At 45.5% G+C, this 27,000-nt stretch overlaps 1 long non-coding RNA gene across 1 annotated transcript; it reads right to left on the reverse strand.

Moving 5' to 3' along the window:
• Positions 1–23,058: 23,058 nt before the first annotated feature.
• LOC105377232 (uncharacterized) lies at positions 23,059–25,270 on the reverse strand. The gene is made up of 3 exons (XR_938648.1): positions 25,257–25,270; positions 23,760–23,834; positions 23,059–23,073 (listed from the first exon to the last, which is right to left on the reverse strand). It is a non-coding gene; the product is annotated as an uncharacterized LOC105377232 (long non-coding RNA).
• Positions 25,271–27,000: the final 1,730 nt, after the last annotated feature.

Genomic DNA, 27,000 nt, shown 5'->3' on the forward strand with positions numbered 1-27,000 from the left:
TCCCATAGCCAAATGGGAATGGCATGGATTAATGCTGAATAGAATGTGTTCTCCATGATTGGCTATTCTTTTCCTGACTTCCATGCTCCTTGTCTGCCTAGGATTTCCTGGATCTGGCTAAATGTCTTACACACTAACTGTTTCCCAGTTCACGGAAGATGACCATCATGGGAATCCATTGCTTGAGTGTGTCCTTCTAAACACTGTCATCTTTTAATGACTGGGCTTCTTGACACCTTTAACATTTTAATGTGTATTTCTGTTATTGTAAATTTCTGTTACAGACATGAGAAAGAAAACCCTTGTTCTCCCAGTTCCATCAGATGTCTGCATGATTCCTGTAGGGTGAGAAGCAGGTAGGCATGTCTGGATTTTTTCCTGGTAATCTAGGCTGCATTTCATTGCATCTGCACATCCTTTCTCTTTGTGGAGGGAGTATTTCATTGAGCTGTTTCTGGATGTGACTGCCTTTCACCAAAGATCTCTTGGCTGCCAGGGATTTCAGGGGGCAAAGAGAAGTCGGGTAGGCTGGCTGCACTTCAGGGTGTTGGTCATGGTCTCTTTGTTGGGGCTGAGGTTATTTACACTTTGCAGGAGGCTTTTGGATCATCTGACTAGAATGTTTGAATGTCATTTGGACTTCAGCACAAGTCAGCTCATTCTCTCAGGTGAGATTTGATTTTTCTTTCTTTCATAGTGGGTCCACAGTGACTTTCAACAACACTACTGGACATAATTTTCAGGCTTGCAATCACAACAGATGGCCTCTGACACAGTGTCTTAACCAAATCTGCATCTGTGAGCCCCCAGTTTGAGGTGTGAGAGCACAGCTCCACCTTGGATTTGCCTTCTTCATGGTCTCTGCCTTTCCCAGACAGTTCTTGTGGGGTCCAGGTTCAAGGGAGGAAGTGAGGTAAAGGACACAGCCTTCTTTCACTGACACCCACCTCTGGGGTCTCAGGTATGATTCTACCCATCAAAAATCCCTCAAAAACTCACTGGACTATATTCCAAACCCAAAGGACCTGATTCTTGCACACAGCCTCTTTCAGGAATGGCGTCAGAAGAGCAGTTTCCAGGGACCCTCTTACTGTCTCAAAACTGCTTCTCCAGCAGTACTAAAACGGCCCAACAGATCCGTAAGGTTGAGACTTACAGGGTCCCACAGAGTGTTATTGCAGGCAGCCTTTCTCCCGATACCAGGCCGGCTCCGCCTGTACCATTTTCCTCTGCTTAGGAAGGCTCACGTATCTGAGAGTTGGGCATCCACCCCTGCCTCTCAAATGCCTGCGCACTATTCTCCTGACACCAGGTCTGAGATGTGAGCTCTGTGTGGCGTCATAATAAATGACACCATTGCCTAGTGAAAAGTCATTGCAGTTTGGTGCAGAAGGATAGCTCCGTGGAGGTGTGTCGGGGGTGGATTGTCACCTCTTTTCTTTGTGGGATGCATGGGATAGTCCCATGATCCTAGGAGAGGGCAGACATGTGCCAGCCTGAAGAATCATCAAGCAATGTCCTAGCAATAAACAGTGAAATTCCTAAGGATCCAAAAGAATCAGAAGGATGGCTCAGGCCTGCCTACATGTTACAGTGGTGAGTTCTTTAGAAACTTGCCCCACTGTGATTTCTAGGTACAACCCGCCTGTGTTCCTGGGGTTGCTCTCTCCATAGTGGGGATTTCTGCTGAACCATGCAGCCTCAGAAGCTGCTGGGCTGTGTGTTTTTGTGGGAGTGTTGCTAGTGTTGGATGTCTGCCTTTTTGTGTGGTTTTGTGTGCTTGTGTGGTGTGTGTGTGCGTGTGTGCGTGTGTTCCTGTAAGTGGAGTCTGCTTACATAAATGTGGCTAATGCACTGAAGACCTTATTTAGGTTGAGTCCCCCAAGCATTTGGTGGCCTGTGTGGCTCTGCCTGGGCTGTGAGACTCTGTGTTCTTTATTTTCCTATGGATAAAGAATCTGCAGTGATTTGAGAGGCTGGCTGTGACCTGTCCAGGTGCAAATCACCTACCCCTGAAATAAAAGCCACTCTTCTTCAAAGAAGAGGATCACACATTACCCAAGAATGGACATCTCCCAGTGTTTCACTGTCCTGTGGCCAAGCCCAAGAGAGACACTAGCAGTCCTACATGCAGGGCCTTTTGAAATTACCTCAAATTTAGTTAGCTGCTGAGTAGGTGCTTCCTGTCATGAGGCAGCACTCCTCAACAATTTGAGTGTTGTTGAAAGTCACTGTGGACCGACTATGAAAGAAAGAAAAAATGAATAAGGTCAGAGAGGCATGAGGATGCAGTCTGGTTAGGATTGGATGGGGTCCTGCACCTTCACCTGCAAAAAAAAGGTGAAGCATGCTGACACAGAAGTTTCTTCCAGCTGAATTCCCACATTCCTTTAGTTGCACAAGCAGTCCACACCATGGCCCGGTGTTCAGGAGGGAGTACTCCAACGTACAAAAAACATTTGGAGTGCAAATTGGGGCCATCTCGGCAAACTCCCAATTTGAGGGCTTTTATACCCAGAGCCAAATGGGAGTGGTATGGATTGATGCTGGGTGGGATGTGGCCTCCGGACTTGCATCTTCTTATCCTGACTTCCATATTCCTCGTCTGCCTCGTGTATCCTGGGTCCGGCTCACTGTCTTCCACACTACACATTTCTCAGTTCACCGACAATGACCCTCATGAAAATCCATTGCATGAGTGTTTCCTTCTAAACACTGTCATGTTTTAAAAACTGGACATTTTCAATAGTTTTAAAATCATAAATTCCTGTTACAGTGCCAGCAAGGAAACTCTTGTTCTCCCACTTATATTGGCGGGCTGCATGATTCTGGTAGGATGAGAAGCAGGCAGGCATGTCTAGCTTTTTCCTGGAAATCTAGCCTCAGTTTTATTTCAACTACATGGACCTCTCATTGTGGAGGGGCTCTTTTGTTGGGCTGTTGCTTGATGGAACTGTCTCTTGCCACAGATTGTTTAGCTGCCAGGGATTTCAGAGAGCAAAAGGAACTTCAGGTAGGCTGGCTACCTTCCAGGTTGTGGGTCATGGTCTCATTTTGGGGGCTTAGGTTCTTTGCACTTTGCAGGAGACTTTTGGGTCCTCTGACAGGAATCATTGAGCATTGCATGGACTCCAGCACAAGGCAGCTCATTCTCTCAGGCGAGCCTTGATTTTTCTTTGCTTTCATGGGGAATCCACAGTGCCCTACATCAGCACTAATGGACATCCCTTTTAGGCTTGCCATAGCCACAGATGGTCATTGAGACATTGTCTCAACCTCATCTGCACCCAGGAAGGGCCAGTCTGAGGTGTAAGAACACACTCCACCTTGGACATGCCTTTGTAGTGGTTCCTGCCTTTCCCAAAAAGCCCCTGCAAGGCCCAGGATGAAGGGAGGCAGTGAGGTCCAAAGCCCAGTCATCTTTCACTGACACCCACCTCTGGGGTCTCAGTATGATTCTATTACCCAAAGCGCCCTCAACCACACACCAGACTATATACAAATTGTCATGAGACCAGATTCTGCCTCATAGCCTCTCTCATAATGGAGTCAGAAGAGCAGTTTCTAGTGATCACCTCAGAGTCTCTAAATGCCTCCTCCTCCTGCAAGACTCGAACACGCAGGTGGCCTGAAATGGCTCTGAGGCTGTGACTTTTAGGGTCCCACTGTGGGTTTCACAGGCAGCCTTTTTCCCAATACCAGGCCGGCTCTACCTGTACTGTTTTTCTCTGCTTAGGCAGGCTGACTTTCTTACAGCAGAGTGGCTGAGCCTGCCTCACAAATGCACATGTGCTAGTCTCAGGGCACCTGGCCTGATTGTGAGTGCTGGCTAGTGTCACAGTGAATGTCACCATTGGCTAGCGACAAGTCCCTGAAGCTTGGCAGAGTAGGAAACCTCCATGGAGGTTCATCAGCTGTGGACTCTCACCTGTTTTCTCTGTGGGATCCATGGGTTAGTCCCATGATTCTAGGACAGGGCAAACATGAGTCAGCCTCAGAAAACATCAGAACCTCAGGAATAAACCATGATATTCTTAAGGTTCCAAAAAAGTCTGCTGGATTATTCAGGCCTGCCTAGATATTTTAGGGGTGAGTCTTTTGGAAATTGCCCCACTGTGATTTCTAGGTACAGCCTGCCTGTGTTCCCTGGGGTTGCTTTCTATGAAATGGGGCTTCCTGCAGAAACACGTGGACTCAGGTGCTGATGGGCTGTGTGTTTCTATGGGATTCTTGCAAGTGTTGGATATCTCCCTGTGTGTGGTATTTTGTGTGTGTGTGTGTGTGTGTGTGTGTACCTGTAAGTGGAGTCCGCCTAAAGGAATGTGGCTAACGCACTTCAGCACTTATTTTTTGTCTTCCAACCTTGTGTGGGGAGCCTGTGTGTGTTCCTCTGCTTCTGTTGTGGGTCTATGTGTTCTATATTTTTCTGTGTATCATGAATCCACAGTGAATTAGGAGGTGTGCTGAAACCCACAAGTGTCCAAATCACCTCTTGGTTAAAAAAAAAAAAAGTCACTCTTCTAGAAAGAAGAAAAGCACACCACACCAAAAAACAAACATCCCTGGTGTTTCATTGTCCTGCAGCCAAACCAGAGAGACACTAGCAGTCCTGTCCACAGGGCCCCTTGAATTTACCTCGACTTCCGTTCCCAGCTGAGCTGGTGCTTCACTTCATGAGGGATCACACCTGCATTGTCTTGGGATTTCATCCTGGGACATAGAGTGTGAGCAGCAGTAAGGTCAGATAGGGGTGAAGATACAATGTAGTGAGAATTGGATGGGTTCCTATAACCTCACCTGCAAAAAAAAAAAAAAAAAGAAGACAGATTACAGAAGATGCTTCCAACCCCATCCCTGCATTTCCTTAATTGCACAAGCAGTCCACACCATGGCCCAGTGTTTAGGTGGGAGTACTCAAATGTGCAAGGAATATTTGGAGTGCAAATTGGGGCCATCCTCGCAAACTCCTGATTTGAGGACTTTTATGCCCGGAGCCAAAGGTGAGTGGAATGGATTGATGCTGGGTGAGATGTGGTCTCCACAGTTACCTCTTCTTTTCCTGACTTCCATGTTCGTGATCGGCCTAGTGTTTCCCACGTCTGGCTCAACAACTTCCACACTAAATGTTTCCCAGTTCACGGAGAACGACCCTCATGGGAATCCATTATGTGAGTGTTTCCTTCTAAACACTGTCAAGTTTTAAATGACTGGGCAGCTTTGATGCTTTTAAAGCCATAAATTCCTGTTACAGCCTCCAAAAGGAAACTCTTGTTCTCCCACTTCCATTGGAGGGTGGCATGATTCCTGTAGGATGAGAAGCACACAGCCATGTCTGGCTTTTGGCTTGTAATCTAGCCTCTGTTTCATTTCATCTACACGGCCTTCTCATTATGGAGGGGCTCTTTTATTGGGCTATTGCTGATGGGACTGCCTCTCCCTACAGATTATTTAGCTGCCAGAAATTTCACTGAACAAAAGGTACTTCAAGTAGGCTGGCTGTGCTCCAGATTGTGGTCATTTTCTCCTTGGAGGGGCTGAGGTTGTTTGCATTGTTGCAGGAGGCTTTTCAGTTTTTTGACAGGAATCATGGAACATTGCTTGGACTCCAGCACAAGGCGGCTCATTCTCTCAGGCAAACTTTGATTTTTATTTGCTTTTATGGGGACTCCTCAGTGCCACTGAACAGCACTACTAGACACCCTTTTCAGGCTTACCATAGCCACAAACAGCCTTTCAGACACTGTCTCTACTTCATCTTCATCCGTGAGAGGCCAGTCTGAGGTGTGAGAACACTGCTCCATGTTGGACTTGCCTTTGTCAGGATTCTTGTTTTTTTCCAGAGAGCCCCTGCAAGGCCCAGAATGAAGGGAGGCAGTGAGATCAAGAGCCTGACCATCTTTTGCTGACACCTGCATCTGAGGACTCAGGTAAAATTCTATTACCCAATGAACCCTCAACAACACACCAGACTATATTCCAATCCCCATGGGACCTGATTCTTGCACGTGGTCTCTTTCAGGAATAGAGTCAGAAGAGTAGCTTCCTACGACCACCCCAGAATCTCAAAATGCCTCTTCCTCCAGTGGGACCTGAAAATGGAGATCGCCCAAAGGGGCCCTAAGGTCGATACATTTAGGGTCTCACAGTGGGTTTTTGCAGGCAACCCTTTTCTTGATATCAGGCAGGCTCTGCCTGTTTCATGTTCCTCTGTTTAGGCAGGCTGACAGCTCTGACAGCCGGACACCCCTGCCTGCCTCATGAATGCGCATGTGCTAGTCTCAGGTCACCTGACCTGACTATGAGCTCTGGCTAGGTTACAATGAATGTCACCGTTGCCTAGTGACAAGTCTCTGCCACTTGGCAGAGAAGGAGGCCTCCATAGATGTGTGTCAGCCATGGACAGTCACCTGTCTTTTCTGTGGGATCCAAGGGATTGCCACATGATCCTAGGAGAGGGCATGATCCAGTCTGAAGAAACATCAAGTAGAGCCCCAGGAATGAACCATGAAAATCCTAAAGCTCCAAAATGATCTGCAGGATTGCTCAGGACTCCCTAGATGTTGTAGGGGTGAGTCTTTTTGAAACTTGCCCCACTGTGATTTTTAGGTACAGCCAGCCTATATTCCTTGGGGTTGCTCACTCCCATGTGGGGCTTCCTGCAGAATCATGCAGCCTCAGGAACTGTTGGGCTCTGTGTTTCTGTCGGAGTGTTATGAGTGTTGGATATCTGCGTGTGCATGTATCATTGTGCATTTGTGTGTGTTGTGTGCCTGTAATTAAAGTCTGCTTAAAGGAATGTGGCTAAAATGCTTCAGTGCTTTTCTTTTCCTTCTATTTATTTTCTTTATCTTTTTCTTTTTCTTTTTTTTTTTTTTGGAGTCTCCCACACTTTGACTCCCAGATGAGTAGGTTCTTCAAGTCATGAGGGGGAATTCCTCCATCCTCTTGGAATTTCATCCTGGGGCATAGAGTGTGACCAGCAACGTCAGATAGGGGTGAGGACACAATGGTGAGGGGTGGATGGGATCCTGCAACTTCACCTGCAAAAAAAAAAAAAATGACTACAGATGACCTGAAGATGCTTCCAATTTTATCCTTGCATTACCTTAATTGCACAAGCAGTCCTCACCACAGCCCAGTGTTCAGGCGGGAGTGCTCCAAAGTTCAAGGAACATTTGAAGCACAAGTTGGGACCATTTTGGCCAATTCCTGATTTGAGGGCTTTCATTCCTGGAACAAAATGTTAGTGGTATGGATTGATGCTGAATGGGATGTGGCCTCCAGAATTACCTCTTCTTTTCCTGACTTCCATGTTCTTCATCTGCCAAGGGTTTCTCTGGGTCTGGTTCAATGGCTTTTGCACTAAAGGCTTCCCAGTTCATGGAGAATGACCCTCAATGGATCTATTGCATGAGTGTTTCCTTCTAAACACTGTTACATTTAAATAACTGGGCAGCTTTGATACATTTAAAACTGTAAATTGTGGTACAGCCACCAAGAAACACTTGTTCTCCCACTTCTATTGGAGGGCTGCATGATTCCTGTAGGATGAGAAGCAGGCATAGGTGTCTGGCCTTTGTCTTGTGTTCTAGCCTCTGTTTCATTTCATCTACATGGCCTTCTCTTTGTGTTGGGGCTTATTCATTGGCCTGTTGCTGGATATGACTGCCTTTCATCACAGATTACTTTGCTGCCAGGGATTTCAAAGATCAAAAGGGACTTTTGTTTGGCTGGCTGAGCTCCAGGATTCAGGTTGTTTTCTCATTCTGGGGACAGAGATTTTTGGCACTTTGCAGAAGGCTTTTGGCTCCTCTGACAAGAATCATTGAGCGTTGCTTAGACTCAAGCACAAGGCAACTCATTCTCTCAGGTGAGCCTTGATTTCCTTTGCTTTCATTGGGAGTCCACAGTGACCCTCAACAGAACTAACGGACTTGCTTTTCAGGCTTGCCATTGCCACAGATGACCTCTGAGACACTGTTTCAATCTCATCTGCACTCATGAGAGGTCAGTCCATGGTGTGAGAACACTGTTCCATCTCTGACTTGCTTTTTTCAGGGTTTCTGTCTTTCCAAGAGAGCTCCTGTGAGGCCCAGGATGAAGGGAGGCAATGAGGTCTAGAGCCCAGCCATCTTTCACTGACCCCCACCCCTAGGGTGTCAGGTATGATTCTATCACCAAAGGAACCCTCAACAACAAACCAATTATATTCCAATTTTCATGGGACTCCATTCTGCAACACAGTGTCTTTTAGGAATAAAGTCAGAAGAGCAGTTTCTACAGACCACCTCACAGTATTGAAACATCTACTCCAGGGGGACCTGGCCATGGAGATAGCTGAAGGGTCCCTGGTCTTCCAGTGGGTTTTTGCAGGCAGCCTTTTTCCTGATACCAGGCTGGCTCTACCTATATACCATTTTCCTCTGCTTAGGCAAGTTGACAGCTCTGACAGCCAGGCACCCAAGACTGCCTCATGAATGCACATCACTGAGGCTCAGGGCACCTGACCTATTTATGAGCTTTGGCTATCTTCACAATGAATGTCACCATTGCCTTACAACAATTCCTTGCATCTTGGCAGAGGAGACTTCTGTGGGGGTTCATCAGCACTGGATTCTCACCTACCTTTTTTGTGGGATCCATGGGACAGTCCCCATGGACCTGGGGAAGGGCAGAAGTGAGGCAGCCTGAGAAAACACCAAGCAGAGCCCCAGAAATAAACTGCAAAATTCCTAAGGACGCAAAAGGATCTACAAGATTCCTCAGTCCTACCTAGCCATTGTAGGGGTGTGTCTTTTTGAATCTTGCCCCACTGTGGTTTTAGGTAGAGCTTGCCTGTGTTCTCTGGGGTTGCTCTCTCCCAGATGTGGCTTCCTATAGAGCCACGCAGCCTCAGGAGCTGCTGGGCTGTGTGTTTCTGTGGGAGTGTTGTGGGTGTTGTATGTCTGCGTGTGTGTGTGTTACATTGTGTGTTTCTGTGTGTGTATGCCTGTAAGTGGAGTCTGCTCAAAGGAGTGTAGCTAACACACTTCTGTGCTTCTTCTCTCTTTTTTTTTTAATCTCCTAAACTTTTGCTGGCCTGTGTGGCTGTGCTTGGACTGTGGGGCTCCATATTTTTGTTTGTTTGTTTGTTTGTTTTGTTTTGTTTTGTTTTGTTTTCCTGTGGAGCATGAATCCGCAGTGAATTGGGAATGGGGCTGAGACCCTCCATCATCCAAATCACCTCTCCCTGCAAAAAAAAAAAAAAAAAAAAAAAAAAAAGAAAACTGTCTTCTAGAAAGAAGAGTAGCATACTACACCAAAAAACAAACATCTTCCAGTGTTTCATTGTCTTGTGGCCAACCCAGGGAGAGACACTAGCAGTCCTGTCTTCAGGGCTCCTTGAATTTACCTCAAATTCTGTTCCCAGTTGACTAGGTGCTTCACATCATGAAGGGGCACTTCTCCATTGTCTTGGGATTTCATCCTGGGACATAGAGAGTGAGCAGCAATAAGGTCAGGTAGGGTTGAGGATACAATCTGGTAAGGGGTGTATGCAGTCCCATAACTTCACCTGCAAAAGACATACAGACAGAATGACACAGAAACTGCTTCTAACTCTGTCCCACATTCCCTTAATTTCACAAGCAGTCCACACCATGGCCCAGTTTTCAGGTGGTAAGGAAGACCACCAAATTATTGTCTCATAACTCAGAAAAATAAATAGAAAGCAAAAGTGAAAGAAAGGCAGACATGAGACCAATAGTCAGATAGCCTGAGGCAGCACCCTAGGCCTGGTAGTTAAAAATCAATCACTGACCTAACCACTTGTATTGTCTAATAGATTTCAGACATTGTGTGAGGATGCATTGTGAAACTTTCTGTTCTGTTCTCTTCTGTCCTGATTACCGATGCATGCACCCTCAGCCGTGTACCCCTTGCTTGCTTCAATGATCACAACCCTTTCACATGGACTCCGTAGAGTTGTAAGCCTTTAAAAGGGGAAGTAATCTCTCTACTGGGGAGTTAGGTTTTTGAGAGGCAAGTCGGCCGACACTTCGTACCAAATAAACCAACTTCCTTCTTTAACCTGGTGTCTGAAGGGTTTTATCTGTGGTTTGTCCTGCTACATTTCTTGGTTCCCTGAGCAGAAAGTGAGGTGGTTAACAGAAGATTGAGGCAGCCCCTTAGGCAGCTTATGCCTTACCTATGGAGTATCCCTGAGGGAGACTCCATGCAGCTTGAGTGACATGAATCCTGAGAGTGCTTCCAGTTAGGGAATTGCTCCAGTGGAATGCCTCACCAGAGCAGTGTACGGCAGGCCCCTGTGGAGGATTGATGCAGTGGCTGAATGATGGGAAGGAACTGGCACTTGGAGTCTGGATATCTGGAACATGGTAGGACCAGTCTTGGAAACTTGCCCACCCTGTTTGAGTAGAATCATGACCTGAATACCCACGGCATGCCTTTATCAGCACTTTGGTTTTGGTTTTGATTTTGGCTTGGCTTGAATTACTTGATTTAGTGTGAATCAGATGAGTGAGTGACCTTTACCCTTTCCCTCTTGCAGTGTGAGTGTTGTATTGTCTCAGGAGAAAAATGGTCAGACACAAAATAAGCCCATACTTCTAGGAACTGTGTTGAACAATTTCAAGAAGGGATTTAAAAGAGACTATGGAGTTACTATGACACTAAGTTTACCAGGTAAACTTAGAACTTTGTGTGAGATAGACTGGTCAGCATTAGAAATGGGTTGGCCATCAGAGTGAAGCCTAGATAGGTCCCTTGTTTCAAAGGTATGCCATAAGATAACCTGTACGTCAGGGCACCCAGACCAGTTTCTATACATAGACACTTGGTTACAACTGGTTTTAGAACTGCCACAATGGTTACAAGGACAGGCAGCAGCAGCAATGTTAGTGGCGAAGGGACAGATAACCAAGGAAGGATCCTGCTCCACCCACCTTGGGAAGATGGTTCCTAAAGTTCTGTCCGACCCAATATCAGAAGACTTATGGCAGGAAGTGGCACTGGCGATGCCTCCCCTTACTGAGAAGAGAGACTCTCGACTCCTGAACCCACAGCACTTGTGCCTCTGCAGGACACACACAACCCTAGGCTACCCAGAGTAGAAAAGAGAGTATATGAAGCTGTAGGAGAAACCCCACCCTTGGCAGCTCATTTATGACCTAAGACTGTAATACAAATGCCCCTGAGGGAAGAGCAGCATACTGGGGTAGACAAGGACAGGCATATGGTGAAAAGTTGTTCCTGTGTGTGGCAATACTTTACCTCAGCTGATCTCCTAAATTGGAGAAAAAAAAAATCTTATACTGAAAAGCCTCAAGCTTTAATCGATTTGCTCCAAACTATTATCCAGACCCACAACCCTACTTGGGCTAATTGCCATCAGCTGCTTATGTACCTCTTTAACATAGATGAAAGGTGATGGGTGCTCCAGGCAACCATCAAGTGGCTGGAGCAACATGCTCTGACTGATTACCAAAACCCCCAGGAATATGTGAGGCTCCAGTTACCAGGTACGGACTCTTAGTGGGACACAAATGAAGAGAAAGTTATAGAAAGGCTAAAGCAATATAAGGAAGCCCTCCTAGAAGGGTTAAAGGAGGGAGCTCAGAAGGCCACAAATGTTAACAAAGTCTCTAATGTCATTCAATGAAAAGAATAGAGTCTGGCACAATTTTATGAAAGACTGTGTGAGGTCTGTGATCCTGAAAGCCCTGAAAATCAGTGCATGATTAGCATGGCTTTAGTTAGTCAAAGCACAGAAGGCATTAGAAGAAAACTTCAGAAACAGGCTGGGTTTGTGGGTATGAACACTTCACAGTTATTGGAAATAGCCAATCAGGTGTTTGTTAATAGAGATGCAGCAGGCCACAGAGAAAGCCACAAATAAAGTGAGTTCCAAGCCCGCCAAAACGCCAACCTGCTAGCTGCAGCTATTAGAGGTGTCCCGCCAAAGGTCTGAGGAAGTGGGGGCCTGGGGAAAACACCCAGTCTGACCAACCATGCCTGCAGCATAACCAGTGTGCATATTGCAGAGAAATAGGGCTTTGAAAAGACAAGTGACCCCAGTTAAAAGATAAAAAAAAAATGGCTCCAAGCCTGAGGTCTCAAGCAAGGATGAAGGGGCCTTGTTTAATCTTGAAGATTGCAAGGACTGAGGGGGATGGGTCTCAGGTGCTCCCAATGAGCCCATGGTCAGGATGACAGTCTGGGGCAAGGATATTGAGTTTCTTGTCCATACTTGTGCTGAACATTCAGTAATGACCACCTCGGTCACCCCCTTATCCAAAAAGACTATTGATATAATTGGAGCCACATGAGTCTTGGCAAAACAATCTCCTTGCACCAGACTCGTGCCATAGGGGGACATGAAGTGATTCTTCATGGCCCTGAAGTTTCTCTGGGAGGAGGAATTGAGACTTTTCTTAACTGAGTCAGTCCAAGAGATAAAACCAGCTCTGGCTAAGTGGTGGCCAAGGGTGTGGGCAGAAGATAATCCTCCAGGGCTGGTAGTCAACCAAGCCCCTGTTCTAAAAAAAGTTAAGCCTGGGGAAAGCCATTCAGGCATACACAGTACCTGGTCCCCAGAGAAGCTGCTGAAGGTATCCAGGTTCATCTCAAATGCCTGAGAGCCTTTGAAATTATAGTCCCTTATCAGTCTCCATGGAACACTCCCTTCCTGCCTGTTCCCAAGCTAAGGACCAAGGACTACAGACCAGTACAGGACTTGTGCTTGGTCAGTCAAGCTACAGTGAGTTTAAATCCAACAGTACCTAGCCCATACACACTTTTGGGGTTATTGCCAGCTAAGGACAGATGGTTCACCTACCTAGACCCGAAGGACATTTTTGTTAGCATCAGTCTAGCTCCTGAGAACCAGAAACTACTTGTCTTTCAGTGGGAAAATCCGGGCTCAGGTATCACCACTCAGTACACTTGGATATGGCTTCCCCAAGGGTTCAAGAACTCCCCCACCATCTTCAGGGAGGCACTGGCTCAAGACCTCCCAAAGTCCCCCACCAATCACCTAGGCTGCGTTTTGCACCAGTACATCGACTACCTTCTGCTGGGACACCCCAAAGCAGTTGAGTGCATGAGAGAGACAGATGCCCTGCTTCAGCAGGCACCTGGAGGATTGTGGGTATAAGGTGTCCAAGAAGATAACCCAGATCTGCAGATATCAGGTACGCTACCTGGGATTCACTATCCAGCAGAGAGAACACAGCTTGTGGTCACAAAGAAAGCAGGTCATCTGCAGCCTGTTGGAGCCTAGGATCAGAAGGAAGGTGAGATAATTCTTAGGAACTGTGGGGTTCTGCAGACTGTGGATCCCAAACCTTGCAGTACTAGCCAAGCCTCTGTATGGGGTTAAAAAGGGGGGTGACCAGGAACATTTTGAATGGGCGTCCCAACAACAGTAAGCCTTTCATGAGTTAAAAGAGGAACTCAGGTCAGCCCCAAACCTGGGTCTGCCCTACCTGACCAATCCATTTACACTCTATGTGTCAGAGAGAGAAAAAACGGCAGTTGGTGTTTTGATCCAGACTCTGGGGCCTTGCTGAGGCCAGTGGTCTACCTCTCTAAGCAACTAGATGGGGTTTCTAAAGGTTGGCCCCTGTGTTTGAGGGACTTAGGAGCAACTATCCTCTAGCACAAGAAGCAGATAAATTCACTCTTGGGTGAAACCTGAACATAAAGCCCCCCCCCTCCAAGCTGTGGTGACTTTAGTGAAAACCAAAGGACACCATTGACTAATGAATGCTAGACTAAGCAAGTACCAAAGCTTGTTCTTTGAAAATCCCCACATAACCATTGAAGTTTGTAACAACCTGAAATCTGCCACCTTGCTGCTGGTATCAGGAAGGCCTGTCAAGCATAACTGTGTAGAGGTGTTGGACTGAGTCTACTTTAGCAGACCTCACCTCCGGGACCAGCCTTGGGCATCACTGCACTGGGAACTAGCTGTATGTGAATGAGAATCGCTTTGTCAACCCACAAGGGGATAAGTATGCGGGATACGCAGTGGTAACACTGGACGCTGTGATTTAGGTCAAACCATTGCCCAAGGGTACTTCAGCCCAGAAACCTGAGCTCATTGCTTTAATTCAGGCCTTAGAACTCAGTGAAGGTAAGACTGTAAACAGTTACAGTGACTCCCGGTATGACTTCTTAACACTCCAAGTGCATGGAACATTATACAAATAAAAGCACCAGTTAAACTCTGGAGGAAAGGACATAAAACATCAGCAAGAAAACTTGCACTTGTGAATAATGCTGCAATAAACATACGTGTGCATGTGTCTTTATAGCAGCATGATTTATAGTCCTTTGGGTATATACCCAGTAATGGGATGGCTGGGTCAAATGGTATTTCCAGTTCTAGATCCCTGGCTGGTCAAATAGCATTTCCAGTTCTAGATCCCTGAGGAACCGCCACACTGATTTCCATAATGGTTGAACTAGTTTACAGTCTCACCAACAGTGTAAAAGTGTTCCAATTTCTCCACATCCTCTCCAGCACCTGTTGTTTCCTGACTTTAATGATTGCCATTCTAACTGGTGTGAGACGGTATCTCATTGTGGTTTTGATTTGCATTTCTCTGATGGCCAGTGATGATGAGCATTTTTTCATGTGTTTTTTGGCTGCATAAATGTCTTCTTTTGAGAAGTTTCTGTTCATGTCCTTTGCCCACTTTTTGATGGGGTTGTTGTTTTTTTTCTTGTAAATTTGTTTGAGTTCATTGTAGATTCTAGATATTAGCCCTTTGTCAGATGAGTAGGTTGTGAAAATTTTCTCCCAATTTGTAGGTTGCCTGCTCACTCTGATGGTAGTTTCTTTTGCTGTGCAGAAGCTCTTTAGTTTAATTAGATCCCATTTGTCAGTTTTGTCTTTTGTTGCCATTGCTTTTGGTGTTTTAGACATGAAGTCCTTGCCCATGCCTACGCACAAGTATGTTTATTGCAGCGTTATTCACAATAGCAAAGACTTAGAACCAACCCAAATGTCCAACAATGATAGACTGGATTAAGAAAATGTGGCACATATACACCATGGAATACTATGCAGCCATAAAAAATGATGAGTTCATGTCCTTTGTAGGGACATGGATGAAATTGGAAATCATCATTCTCAGTAAACTATCGCAAGAACAAAAAACCAAACACTGCATATTCTCACTCATAGCTGGGAATTGAACAATGAGATCACATGGACACAGGAAGGAGAATATCACACTCTGGAGACTGTTGTGGGGTTGGGGGAGGAGGGAGGGATTGCTTTGGGAGATATACCTAATGCTACATGACGAGTTAGTGGGTGCAGCGCACCAGCATGACACATGTATACATATGTAACTAACCTGCATGTTGTGCACATGTACCCTAAAACTTAGAGTACAAAAAAAAAAAGAAATCTTGCACTTATTAGAAGCAGTATAGAAATCCGAAAGGTGGCAGTCGTGCATTGCAGAGGACAATAGTGAGCTTCTACCATGGTTGCTTTAGAGAACTCCAGAGCTGACTCAGAGGCTCAAAAAGCAGCCTGCACACCCTATCAGGCAGAAGGAAGGCAAAGAGCAAGAAGGATGGATCTGGTTACCAGATAAAAGAATAGTCATGCCACAGCTGCTAGGAGCCACAGTTGTACTGGCTTTGCATGAAACTACCCATCTAGCTTAGGAATCACTTGAAAAGCTGTTAGGCCAGTACTTTTACATATCATATTTGTCAGCCCTTGCCAAAACTGTGGCCGAGCAAGGTATTACCTGCTAACAGCACAATGTAAGGCAGGGTCCAGGCTTTCCACCCAGTACACAAGTTTATGGAGCAACCCCTTTTGAAAATCTCCAGGTGGACTTCACAGAAATCCCAGTGTGGAGTTAACATGTATCTACTTGTTTTGTGTGTACCTACACTGGGTGGGTGGAGGTTTTCCAATCTGAACTGAAAAAGCTAGTGAAGTAAACCATGTGCTTCTTCGAAGTCTTATTCCTAGATTTGCACTGCCCTTATGAATCAGCTCAGATGATGGGCTGGCATTTGTTGCTGACTTTGTGCAGAAGACAGCAAAGATATTGGGGATCATATGAAAACTGCATGTAGCCTACTGACCTCAGAGGTCTGGAAAGGTAGAGTGAATGAATTGAACCATCAAAAATAGATTAGGGAAAGTGTGCCAGAAACAGGATTAAAATGGTTACAGGCTCTCCCTTTGGTATTGCTTAAGATAAGATGTGCCACTTCTAAAAGAGCAGGGTGTTTCCCTTATGAAATATTATATTGTAGAATCCCTCCCATATTATGAGGACTCCCAGGCAATCCTTCAGAATGAGGTGAAGTTGAGTTAGAGCAACAGCTACAGGCTCTAGGAAAAATTGCACAATTTCAGCTTGAGTTAACGAGAGGTGCTCTATTAGCTTATTCTCCCCAGTTCACCTCTTCTCCCCAGGTGATCAAGTGTGCTTCAAGGATTGGAATGTAGTCCCCCTAAGGCCACTGTTGAAAGGGCCCAAGACCATAAATTTGACCACTCCCACTGCCTTGAAGGTAGAAGTAATCCCGGCCTGGATCCATCACCATCGTGTAAAACCTGTAGTGCCTGAGACCTGGGAGGTGAGACCAAGCTGGGACAACCCCTGGAAAGTGACACTGAGAAAGATGACAAGCCCTTCTCCAGTCACACCCAGTAGCTGACTGGTCTACACACAGTCAACGCATGATGAAACACATTGTGGGACTTATTCTCCTTAAAATTTGGACTTGTATAATAAAGACTGATTTTTCCCAAATGAAGAAATAGTCCCACTATAATAATTAGGTTACTGAGGTAGGGCAACACGTTAAAACAATCTTTCTGTTTTATAGTTATTATGAATGCCTATAAACTTCAAAAGGAAACTGTCTGTTTAACTTCACGCTGTATAAAGTATGCAGCCTAGGAAATTACCAATCTAATGTGTGCTATAACCCATCTGAGCCTCCTATGATCACAGTCTTTCAAATAAGATTAAAAACTAGTCCTTTTCTAAGTGATACAAGTAAAATAATAGCTAAAACAGAAGAAAAACGAACCCCCAAGCACATAACCTTAAATTTTGATGCTTGTGCCACCATAAAGAGTAATCAGCAAGGATTAGGATGTGGCTCTCTAGATTGGGGAAAAAGTTATACAGCAGAGAATACGTATATTCGTCATGATTTGGGCCTATGTGATAAAGTATGTAATTACTGGTCTTGTGTCATTTGGGCTACCTGGAAAAAGAATGAAAAAGTTCTGATATGGCTTCAGAAAGGAAAGGGGAATTTCTCTTGCAGAAGTGGCCACTGTAACCCCTTAGAACTAATAATCACCAATTCCCTGGACCCACTTTGAAAAAAGGGAGAACATGTAACTCTAGTGACCAACAGAGCTGAACTGGGTCCTTGAGTAAATGCTTTAGTCCTAAAACAGATCAAACGGTGGTCTCCCAAACCAGTGTGTTAGACCTTCTATGATGAATTGAATGTGCCTGTACCAGATCTCCCAGAGAAGACAAAGAAGTTGTTCCTGCAGTTAGCAGAAAATGTAACCCGTTCCCTCAATGTTACTTCCTGTTATGTATGTGAGGGAACCACTGGGGAAGACGACTGGCCTTGGGAAACCCAAAAATTAGTGCCCACTCATCCACTTACCAATAAGATTCCAGCCCAGAAGGCCCACACTGGCAACTTCTGTGTTTTAAGAGACACAGTTATTGAGTGGCACTCTATAGCTAGAGAAGGACAGAACTTCACCCTCCCTGTGGGAAGGCTCAACTGTCTTGGACAAAACCTGTATAACATCACAGCAAAAACAGCCATGTGGGGGGTTCAAACCACAGTGAGAAAAATCCAGTTAGTAAATTTCCAAAGTTGCAAACTGTGTGGACCCACCCAAAGTCTCACTGGGACTGGACAGCCCCCACCGGACTATACTGGATATGTGGGCACAGAGCATAAGCCAAGTTACCTGACCAATGGGCAGGTAGTTGTGTTATGGACACCATTAAACCATCCCTTTTCCTACTGCCCATGAAAAGAAGTGAACTCCTGGGCTTCCTGGCCTATGCTTCCCAAGAAAAGAGAAGCATAGCTATAGGTGATTGGAAAGATGATGAGTGGTCCCCTGAAATAATTATGCAGTATTATGGGCCTGCCACTTGAGTCATCTTGTGATGGCTCATGGGCATACCAAACCCCCATTTACATGCTCAACCAGATCACACAGTTACAAGCTGTCTTAGAAATAATCACTAATATAATCGGCAGAGCTTTGACTGTTTTAGGCCTGCAGGAAATCCAGGTGAGAAACGTTACGTATCAAAGTATATTAGCTCTAAACTACTTGATAACAGCTGAAGGAGGGGTCTGCAGAAAACTTAACCTAACCAGTTGCTATCTGCATATAGATCATCAAAGGCAAGCAGTCAAAAATATAGTCAGAGATATGACAAAACTGGCACACGTGCCTGTGCAGGTTTGGCAGGGGTTTGATCCTGGATCAGTATTTGGAAAATGGTTTCCATTTATAGGAAGATTTAAAATTCTTATATTAGGAATAATAATAGTGATAGGAACCTGCTACTTTCTCCCCTGCTTGCTACCCATGCTCCTTCTGATAATGGGAAGCTTTGTTACTGCCTTTGTCCACCAAAATGATTCAGCACAAGCATGTTACATAAATAACTATTGATCTGTCTTGCAGGAAGGCCTAGTTAGTGGGGATAAGGCTGAGAAATCTCTGTAATAAGTGAGACTCTCAAAGGGGGGGATAAGGAAGGAGACCACCTCTCTTATTGTCTCATACCTCAGAAAATGAAAGAGGAAACAAAAGCTAAAGAAAAGCAGAAATGAGATCAATAGTCAGACAGCCCACACCACACCCCAAGCCTGTTAGTTAAAAATCAATCCCTCACATAACTGCTTGTATTATTATAGATTCCAGACAATGTATGAGCAAGCATTGTGAAACTTTCTGTTCTGTTCTGTTCTGTTCTGTTCTGTTCTGTTCTCTCTTGATTACCAACGTATGCAGCCCCAACCATGTACCACATGTTTGCTCAATCAATTACGACCCTTTCACATGGACCCCCTTAGAGTTGTAAGCCTTTAAAATGGGCAGGAATCTCCCTCTCAAGGAGCTTGATTTTTGAAATGCAAATATGCCAAAACTGCCTGCCTAATAAAGCCAATTCCTTCTTTAACCCATGTCTGAAGGGTTCTGTCTGTGGCTCAAACTGCTAAAATGGGAGTTTTCCAAAGTGCAAGTAACATTTCAAGTGCAAATTTGGGCCATCCTGGCAAACCCCTGATTTGAGGGCTTTTATACCCGAAGCCAAATGGGAATGAGATCAATTGATGCAAGGTAGAATGTGGCCTCCACAGTTCCCTCTTCATATCCTGACTTACATGTTCCTCATCAGCCTAGGGTTTCTTCTGTCCAGCTTAAAGTCTCCCAAACTAAATATTTCTCAGTTCATGGAATGGTAATCTAGGCTATGTTTCATTGCATCTACACATTCTTTTTCATCATGAAGAGGGTCTTTCGTTGTGCTGTTGCTGGATGGGGCTGCCTCTCAACACAGATTTATTGGCTGCCATAGATTTCAGGGAGCACAAGGGATTTTGGGTAAGCTGGTCTCCCCCCAGGTTGTGGGTCTTGGTCTCCTTATGGGGGCTTAGGTTGTTTGCATTTTGCAGGAGGCTTTTGGGTTCTCTGATGGAAATATTTGAATGTTGCTTGGACTCCTGCACAAGTCTTCTCTTTCTCTCACTCCAGCCTTGATGTTCCTTTGCTTTCAGGGTAGGTCCACACTGCCCCTCACGCACACTACAGAACACCATTTCCAGTGTTTCAATCATCACAGACGGCCTCTGAGACACTGTATAAATATTCTCTGCATCTGTAAGAGACCAGTTCAAAGTGAGAACACGTCTTCACCTTGGACTTGCATTTCTGGTGGTTCCTGCATATCCTAGAGAGCCCCTGTGAGGTCCAGGATGAAGGGAAACAGTGAGTATAACATCCTGGACATCTTTCATTGACATCCACCTCTGGGGTCTCAGGTATGATTCTATCACCCAAAGACCACTGCACAACTCAGGAGACAATGTTCTAATCCACATGGGACTCAATTCTGGCACACAGCCACTTTCAGGAATGGAATCAGAAGAGCAGTTTCCAGGGATCACCTCACTGTCTTGAAATGTCTCTTCCTCCAGAGGGACCCGACCACAAAGACAGCCCGAGGGGCCCTAAGGTGGAGACTTTTAGGGTCCCTCAGTGGGTTAGTGCAGGCAGCTTTTCTCCCAATAACAAGCCGGCTTTGTCTGTACCATTTTCCTCTGCTTAGGCAGTCTGACAGCTCTGACAGCTGGGCACCCAAGCCTGCACACAAATGAGCATGCTCTAGTCTCAGGGCACCAGGTCTGAAAGTAAACTCTGGCTAACATTACAACCAATGTCACTGTAGCCTAGGGACAAGTACCTGAGGCTTGGCAATAAAGAAGACTGCCATGGAGTTTCATCAGCCATGGACTTCCACCTGTCTTCTCTATGGTATCAAGGGGATTGTCCCATGACCCTAAGAGAGGGCAGATGTGTGTCAGCCTGAAGAAACATCAAGCAAAGCCCCAGGAATAAACTGCAAAATCCCTAAGAATCCTAAAATATCAGCAGGATTTGTGAGGCTTGCCTAGACATTGCAGGGGTGAGTCTTTTTGAAACTTGCTCCACTTTGATTTATATGTATAGCCTGCCTCTCTTCCCCGGGGCTGCTCTCTCCCAGATGAAGATTCCTGCAGAATCACGCAGCCACAGGAGCTGCTGGGCTGTGTGTTTCTGTGGGAGTGTTGCAAGTGTTGGATAGCTGAGTGTGTGTAGTGCATTTTGTATTTGTGTGTGTGTGTGTGTGTTTGTGTCTGTAAGTGGAGTCTGCTTAAAGAAATGTGACTAACACACCTCAGGGCTTCTTTTTTTTGAGTTTCTCAACCTTATGGTGGCCTGTCTTTGTGGCTCTGCTTGGGCTGAAGGGCTCCATGTTCTTTAATTTCTGTGGATCATGAATTTGCAGTGAAGTGGGAGGCAGACTGAGATCCACCTTCATCCAAATCACCTCCCCCTGCAAAAAAAGCCACAATTATAGAAAGAAGGGGAGTACATTAAAGCAAAAAATGACATCTTCTAGTGTTTTATTGCCCTGCGACGAACCCAGGGAGAGACATTAGCAGTCCCGTCCGCAGGACCCCTTGAGTTTATCTCGAATTCAATTCGCAGCAGAGCAGTTGCTTCATGTCATAAGGGGTCACTGCTCCATCTTCTTGGGATTTCATCCTGGGACATAGAGTGTGAGCAGCAATAAGGTCAGATATGGGTGAGGATACAATTTGGTGAGGGGTGGATGGGGTCCCACAACTTCACCTGGGGAAAAAAAAATGAAGACAGATGAATCAGAAGGTGCTTGCAAACCCATCCCCACATTATCTTAATTGCACAAGAAATCCACACCATGGTCTATTGTTCAGGTGGGAGTACTCCAACATGCAAGGAATATTTGGATTGGAAATTGGGGCTATCCTATCAAACTCCCTATTTGAGGGCTTTCATACCCAGAGCCAAACGGAAGTGGAATGTATTGATGGTGGGTGGGATGTGACCTCGTCTTTTCCCGAATTCCATGTCTCTCATCAGCCTAAGGTTTCTGGGGTCTGGCTAAACGATTTCCACACTAAACATTTCCCAGTCCCAGGAGAATGACCCTCATGGAAATCCATTGCCTCAGTGTTTTCTTCTAAACATTGTCATGTTTTAATGACTGGGCAGCTTTGCTACGTCTAAAATTGTAAATTCCCATTAGAGTTGCCAACAAGGAAACTCTTGTTCTCCCACTTCTGTTGGAGGGCTGCATGATTCCTCTCAGATCAGAAACAGGGAGCCATGTCTGGCTTTTTTTTCTGGTAATCTAGCCTCTGTTTCATTTCATCTGCATGGCCTTCTAATTGTGGAGGGGCTCTTTCCTCAGGATGTTGCTGGATGGGACTGCATCTTGCCACAGATTATTTAGCTGCTAGGGATTTCAATGAGCAAAAGGAATTTCAGGTATGCTGGCTGCATTCCAGGTTGTGGTGCATTGTCTTGTTTTGGGGGCTGAGGTTGTTTTCACTTTGCCTTAGGATTTGGGTCCTCTGACATGAATCATTAAACATTGCTGGGACTCCAGCACAAGGCAGCTCATTCTCTCACATGAGCCTTGATTTTTCTTTGCTTTCATGGAGAATCCACAGTGCCCCACAAAAGCACTACTGGACAATCTTTTCAGGCTTGATATCACCACAGACGTCCTCTGAGAAACTGTCTCAACCTCATCTTACCAGTGAGAGGCAAGTCTGAGATGCAAGAACACTGCTCCACCTTGAACTTACTTTTGTCTTGGTTCCTGCCTTTCCCACAGAGCCACTGAAAAGCCTATGATGAAGGGAGGCAGTGAGGTCAAGAACCCAGCCATCTTTCACTGACACCTCCCTCTGGGGTCTCAGGTATGATTATACTACCAAAAGAACACTCAACAACACACCAGACTATATCCCACTACCTGTGGGACCCAATTCTTGCACACACACATTTTCTTTTGAGAATGGAGTCAGAGAAGCAGTTTCCAGCGACAACCTCACAGTCTCAAAATGCTTCCTCCTCCACAGAACCTGACCACTGAGATGGCCCAAAGGGGCTCTGAGGTCGAGACTTTCATGGTCCTGCCATGGATTTTCACAGGCAGCCTTTTTCCAGATAACAGGCCAGCTCTGCCTGTGTCATTTTCCTCTGCTTAGGCAGGCTGAAGGCTCTGACAGTCAGGTGCCTGAGCCTGCCCTGTGAATGCGCACACACTAGTCTCAGCACCAGGCCTGATTGTGAGCTCTGGTATCATAATAAATATCACTGTTGCCCAGTGCCAAGTCTTGTGGCTTGATGGAGAAGGAGTCCTCTGTGAAGTTTCAGTGGTAATGGACTCTCGCTTATCTTCTCAGTGGGATCCAGGGTATAGTCCCAAGATCCTAGGAGAGGTCAGATATTAGCCAGCCTTAAGAAACATCAAGCACAGACCCAGAAATAAGCCACAAAATCCTTAAGGACCCAAAAGGATCTGCAGGATTTGGTAAGTCTGTGTAGACCTTGTAGGGGTGAGTCTTTTAGAAACTTGCCCCACTATGATTTCTAGGTACAGCCCACCTGTGTCCCCTGGGGTTGCTCTCTGCCGGGGGGGGGGCTTCCTGCAGAACCACACATGCTTAGGATCTGCCTAGCTATGGGTTTCCATGGGAGAGTTGCCAGTGTTGGATGTCTGTGTGTGTGTGTGGCTTTCTGTGTTTATTTGCATGTGTGTGTATACGTGTGTGTGCTTGTAAGTGGAGTCTGCTTAAAACAATGTAGCTAATGCCCTTCAGCACTTTTTTTTTTTTTTTGAGTCATCCAACATTTTGGTGGCCTGTCTGTGTGGCTCTTCTTGGGCTGCAGGGCATTGTGTTATTTAGTTTTCTGTGGATTGTGAATCCACATAAATTGGGAGGCTGGATGAGACCCACTGGCATCGAAATCAAACCCCCCTGCAAAAAAGGTCACTCTTCTAGGCAGAGGAGGAGCACACCACACCAAAAACAGATATCTCCCAGTGTTTTATTGTCCTGCAACCAACCCAGGGAGAGACACTAGAAGTGCTGTTTTCAGGGCCCCTTGAATTTACCTCAAATTTGGTTCACAGCTGAGCAGGAGCTTCATGGCGTGAGGGGGCACTCTTCCATCATCTTTGGACTTTATCCTAGGATGTAGAGTTTGAACAACAATAAGGTCAGATAATTGTGAGGCTACAATCTGTTGAGGAGTGAATGGGGTCTCATAACTTCACCTGCCAAAAAAAAAAATGGAGACATATGAAACAGAAGGTTCTTTAAACTCCATTCCTTCATTCCCTTAATGGCACAAGCAGTCCACACCAAGGCTACATGTTCAGGTGGGAGTACTACAAGGGGCAAGAAAAATTTGGAGTGTAAATTGGGGTTATCCTTGAACCTCCCAGTTTAAGGGCTTTCATACCTGGAGCGAAATGGGTGTGGAATGGGTTGATGCTTGGTGGTATGTGGCCTCCACAATTGCCTCTTTTTTCCTATTTCCATTTACCTCATCAACCTAGGGTTCCCTATGTCTGGCTCAATGATTTCCACACTGAAAGTTTCCCAGTTCACATAGAATGATCCTCAAGAAAATCCATTGTGTGAGCATTTGATTCTAAACACTGTTACATTTTAATAACTAGGCAGCTTTGATACTTTTAAAACCATAAATTCTGGTTACAGCCACACACAAGGAACCTCCTGTTCTCACACTTCTATCAGCAGGCTGCATGATTCCTGTAGGATGAGAAGCAGGCAGCTGTGTCTGGCTTTTGCCTGGTAATATAGCCTCTGTTTCATTTCATCTCCGTGGCCTTTTCTTTGCAGAGGGGTTCTTTAATTGGGCTGTTTCTGGATGAGACTGCCTCTCACCACAGATTATTTAGCAGCCAGGGATTTCAGAGAGCAAAAGGGACTTCAGGTAGGCTGGATGTGCTCCAGGTTATGGTTTGTTGTCTTTCTGTGGGGGCTGAGGTTGTTTTCACTTTGCGGAGGCTTTTGGGTTATCTGTCAGGAATCATTGCGCATTGCTTGGAAACCAGCACAAGCAGCTTGTTCTCTCATGTGAGCCTTCATTTTTCTTTGTTTTCATGAGGAATTCACATTGTCCCTCAACAGCACCACTGAAAAGCTTTTTCAGTCTTGCCGTCATCACAGATGGCCTATGAGATGACACTTCACCTTCGACTTGCCTTTGCTATGGTTGCTCCCTTTCCCAGAAAGCCCCTGCAAGGCCCTGGATGAAGGGAGTCAGTGAGGTCAAGAGCCTGGCTATCTTTCACTGACCCCCACCTCTGGGTTTTCAGGTTTGATTCTATCAAATGCAGAAACCTTAAAAACACACCAAACTATATTCCAATCCCCATGGGACCTGATACTTGCACATAGCCTCTTTTGGAAATGGAGTCAGAAGAGCAGATTCCAGTGACCACTACATGTCTCAAAACCCATTCTTTACCAGAGGGATCTGAACACACCAGGTTATATTCCAGTTTTCATGGGACCCAATTGTTACACATAGCTACTTTTGGAAATGGAGCCAGAAGAACAGTTTCCACCCACCAACTCACAGTCTCAAAATGCCCCCTCCTCCAGCTTGACCCAACCATGGAGACAGCCAGAGGGGTCCTTAGGTTGAGAGACCCTCAGGTTGAGGCACCAGGCCTGATCATGAGCTCTGGCTAGCATCACAGTGAATGTCACCGTTGCCTAGGGACCAATACTGGCAGCTTGGCAGAGAAGGAGAACTCTCACATGTCTTCTCTGTGGGATACACAGGATAGTCCCTGGATCCTAAGAGAGGGCAGATGTGAGTCATCCTGAAGAAATGTGAAGGAGAGCCCCAGGAATAAACTGCAAAATTGCTAAGGATCCAAAAGGATCTGCAGGATTCCTCAGGCCTGACTAGAATTTGTAGGGATGAGGCTTTTTGAAACTTGCCCACTGTGATTTCTAGATACAGACTTCCTGTGTTCCCTGGGCTTGATCTCTCCTAGGTGTGGCATCCTGCAGAACCACGCAGCCTCAGGAGTTTCCAGGCTATGTGTTTCTGTGATAGTGTTGGGAGCGTTGAATGCATGCGTGTGTGTGTTTCATTGTGGTCTTTTTTTGTGTGTGTGAGTGTGTGCCTGTAATTTGAGTCAGCATAAAAGAATGTTGCTAACACACCTAACTGTTTTATTTATTTATTTATTTATTTTTATTTTTATTTATTTTTTTACTTTCCCAACCTTTTGTTGGCCTATCTGTGTGGCTCTGCTTGGGTTGTGGCATTCTTTTTTCTTTATTTTATTGTGGATCATGAATCAGCAGGGAATTGTGAGGTGTGCCGAGACCTGTCAGCATCCAGTTCACCTCCTCCTGCAAAAAAAAATAAAGTCACTCTTCTGAAAAGAAGCACACCACACCAAAAAACAGATATCTCTTAATTTTTCATTGTCCTGTCACCAACCCAAGGAGAGACACTAGAAGTTCTTTCCACAGGACCCTTAAATTGACCTCAAATTTGGTTCCTAGCCTGGCAGATGCTTAATATCATGAGGTAGCACTGCACCATCATCTTGGGATTTCATCTTGGGACATAGAGTGTGATTAGCAGTAAGGTCAAATAGGGGTGAGTATAAAATCTGGTAAGGGGTGGATGGAATCCCACAACTTCTCCTGCAAAACAAATTAAGACAGATGAGACAGAATGTGCTTCCAACTCCATCCCTGCATTCCCTTAATTGCACAAGCAGTCCACACCCTGTTCTCGTGTTCCAGTGGGAGTACTCCAATGTGCAAGAAACATTTGGGTGCAAATTGGGGTTATCCAAGCAAATTTTCAATTTGAAACTTTCATACCCAGAGCCAAATGGGTGTGCAATGGATTGATGCCTGGTGGGATTTGGCCTCCATATTTGCCTCTTCTTTTTCTGACTACTATGTTATTCATTGACCTAGGCTTTCCTGGATCTGGCTTAACAATGTCCACACCAAATGTTTCCCTGGTCATGAAGAACAGCCCTCATGAGAATCCATTGCATGAGTGTTTTTTTCTGAACATTTTAATGGGTAGCTTTGATACTTTTAAATACTTTTTTTGATACTTTTAAAACTGTAAATTCCCATTACAGCCACCAGAAATGAAACTCTTGTTCTCCTACTTCTATCGGAGGGGGCTTCATGATTCTTGTAGGATGAGAAGTATGCCGCTGTGTCTAGCTGTTGCCTGGTAATCTAGCCTACGTTTCATCTCATCTGCACAGCCTTCTCATTATGGAGGGGCTCTTTCATTGGGCTTTTGCTATATGGGACTCCCTCTCACCACAGATT

Source organism: Homo sapiens, chromosome Y (assembly GCF_000001405.40).
Source record: "Homo sapiens chromosome Y, GRCh38.p14 Primary Assembly".
Classification (NCBI taxonomy): domain Eukaryota; kingdom Metazoa; phylum Chordata; class Mammalia; order Primates; family Hominidae; genus Homo; species Homo sapiens.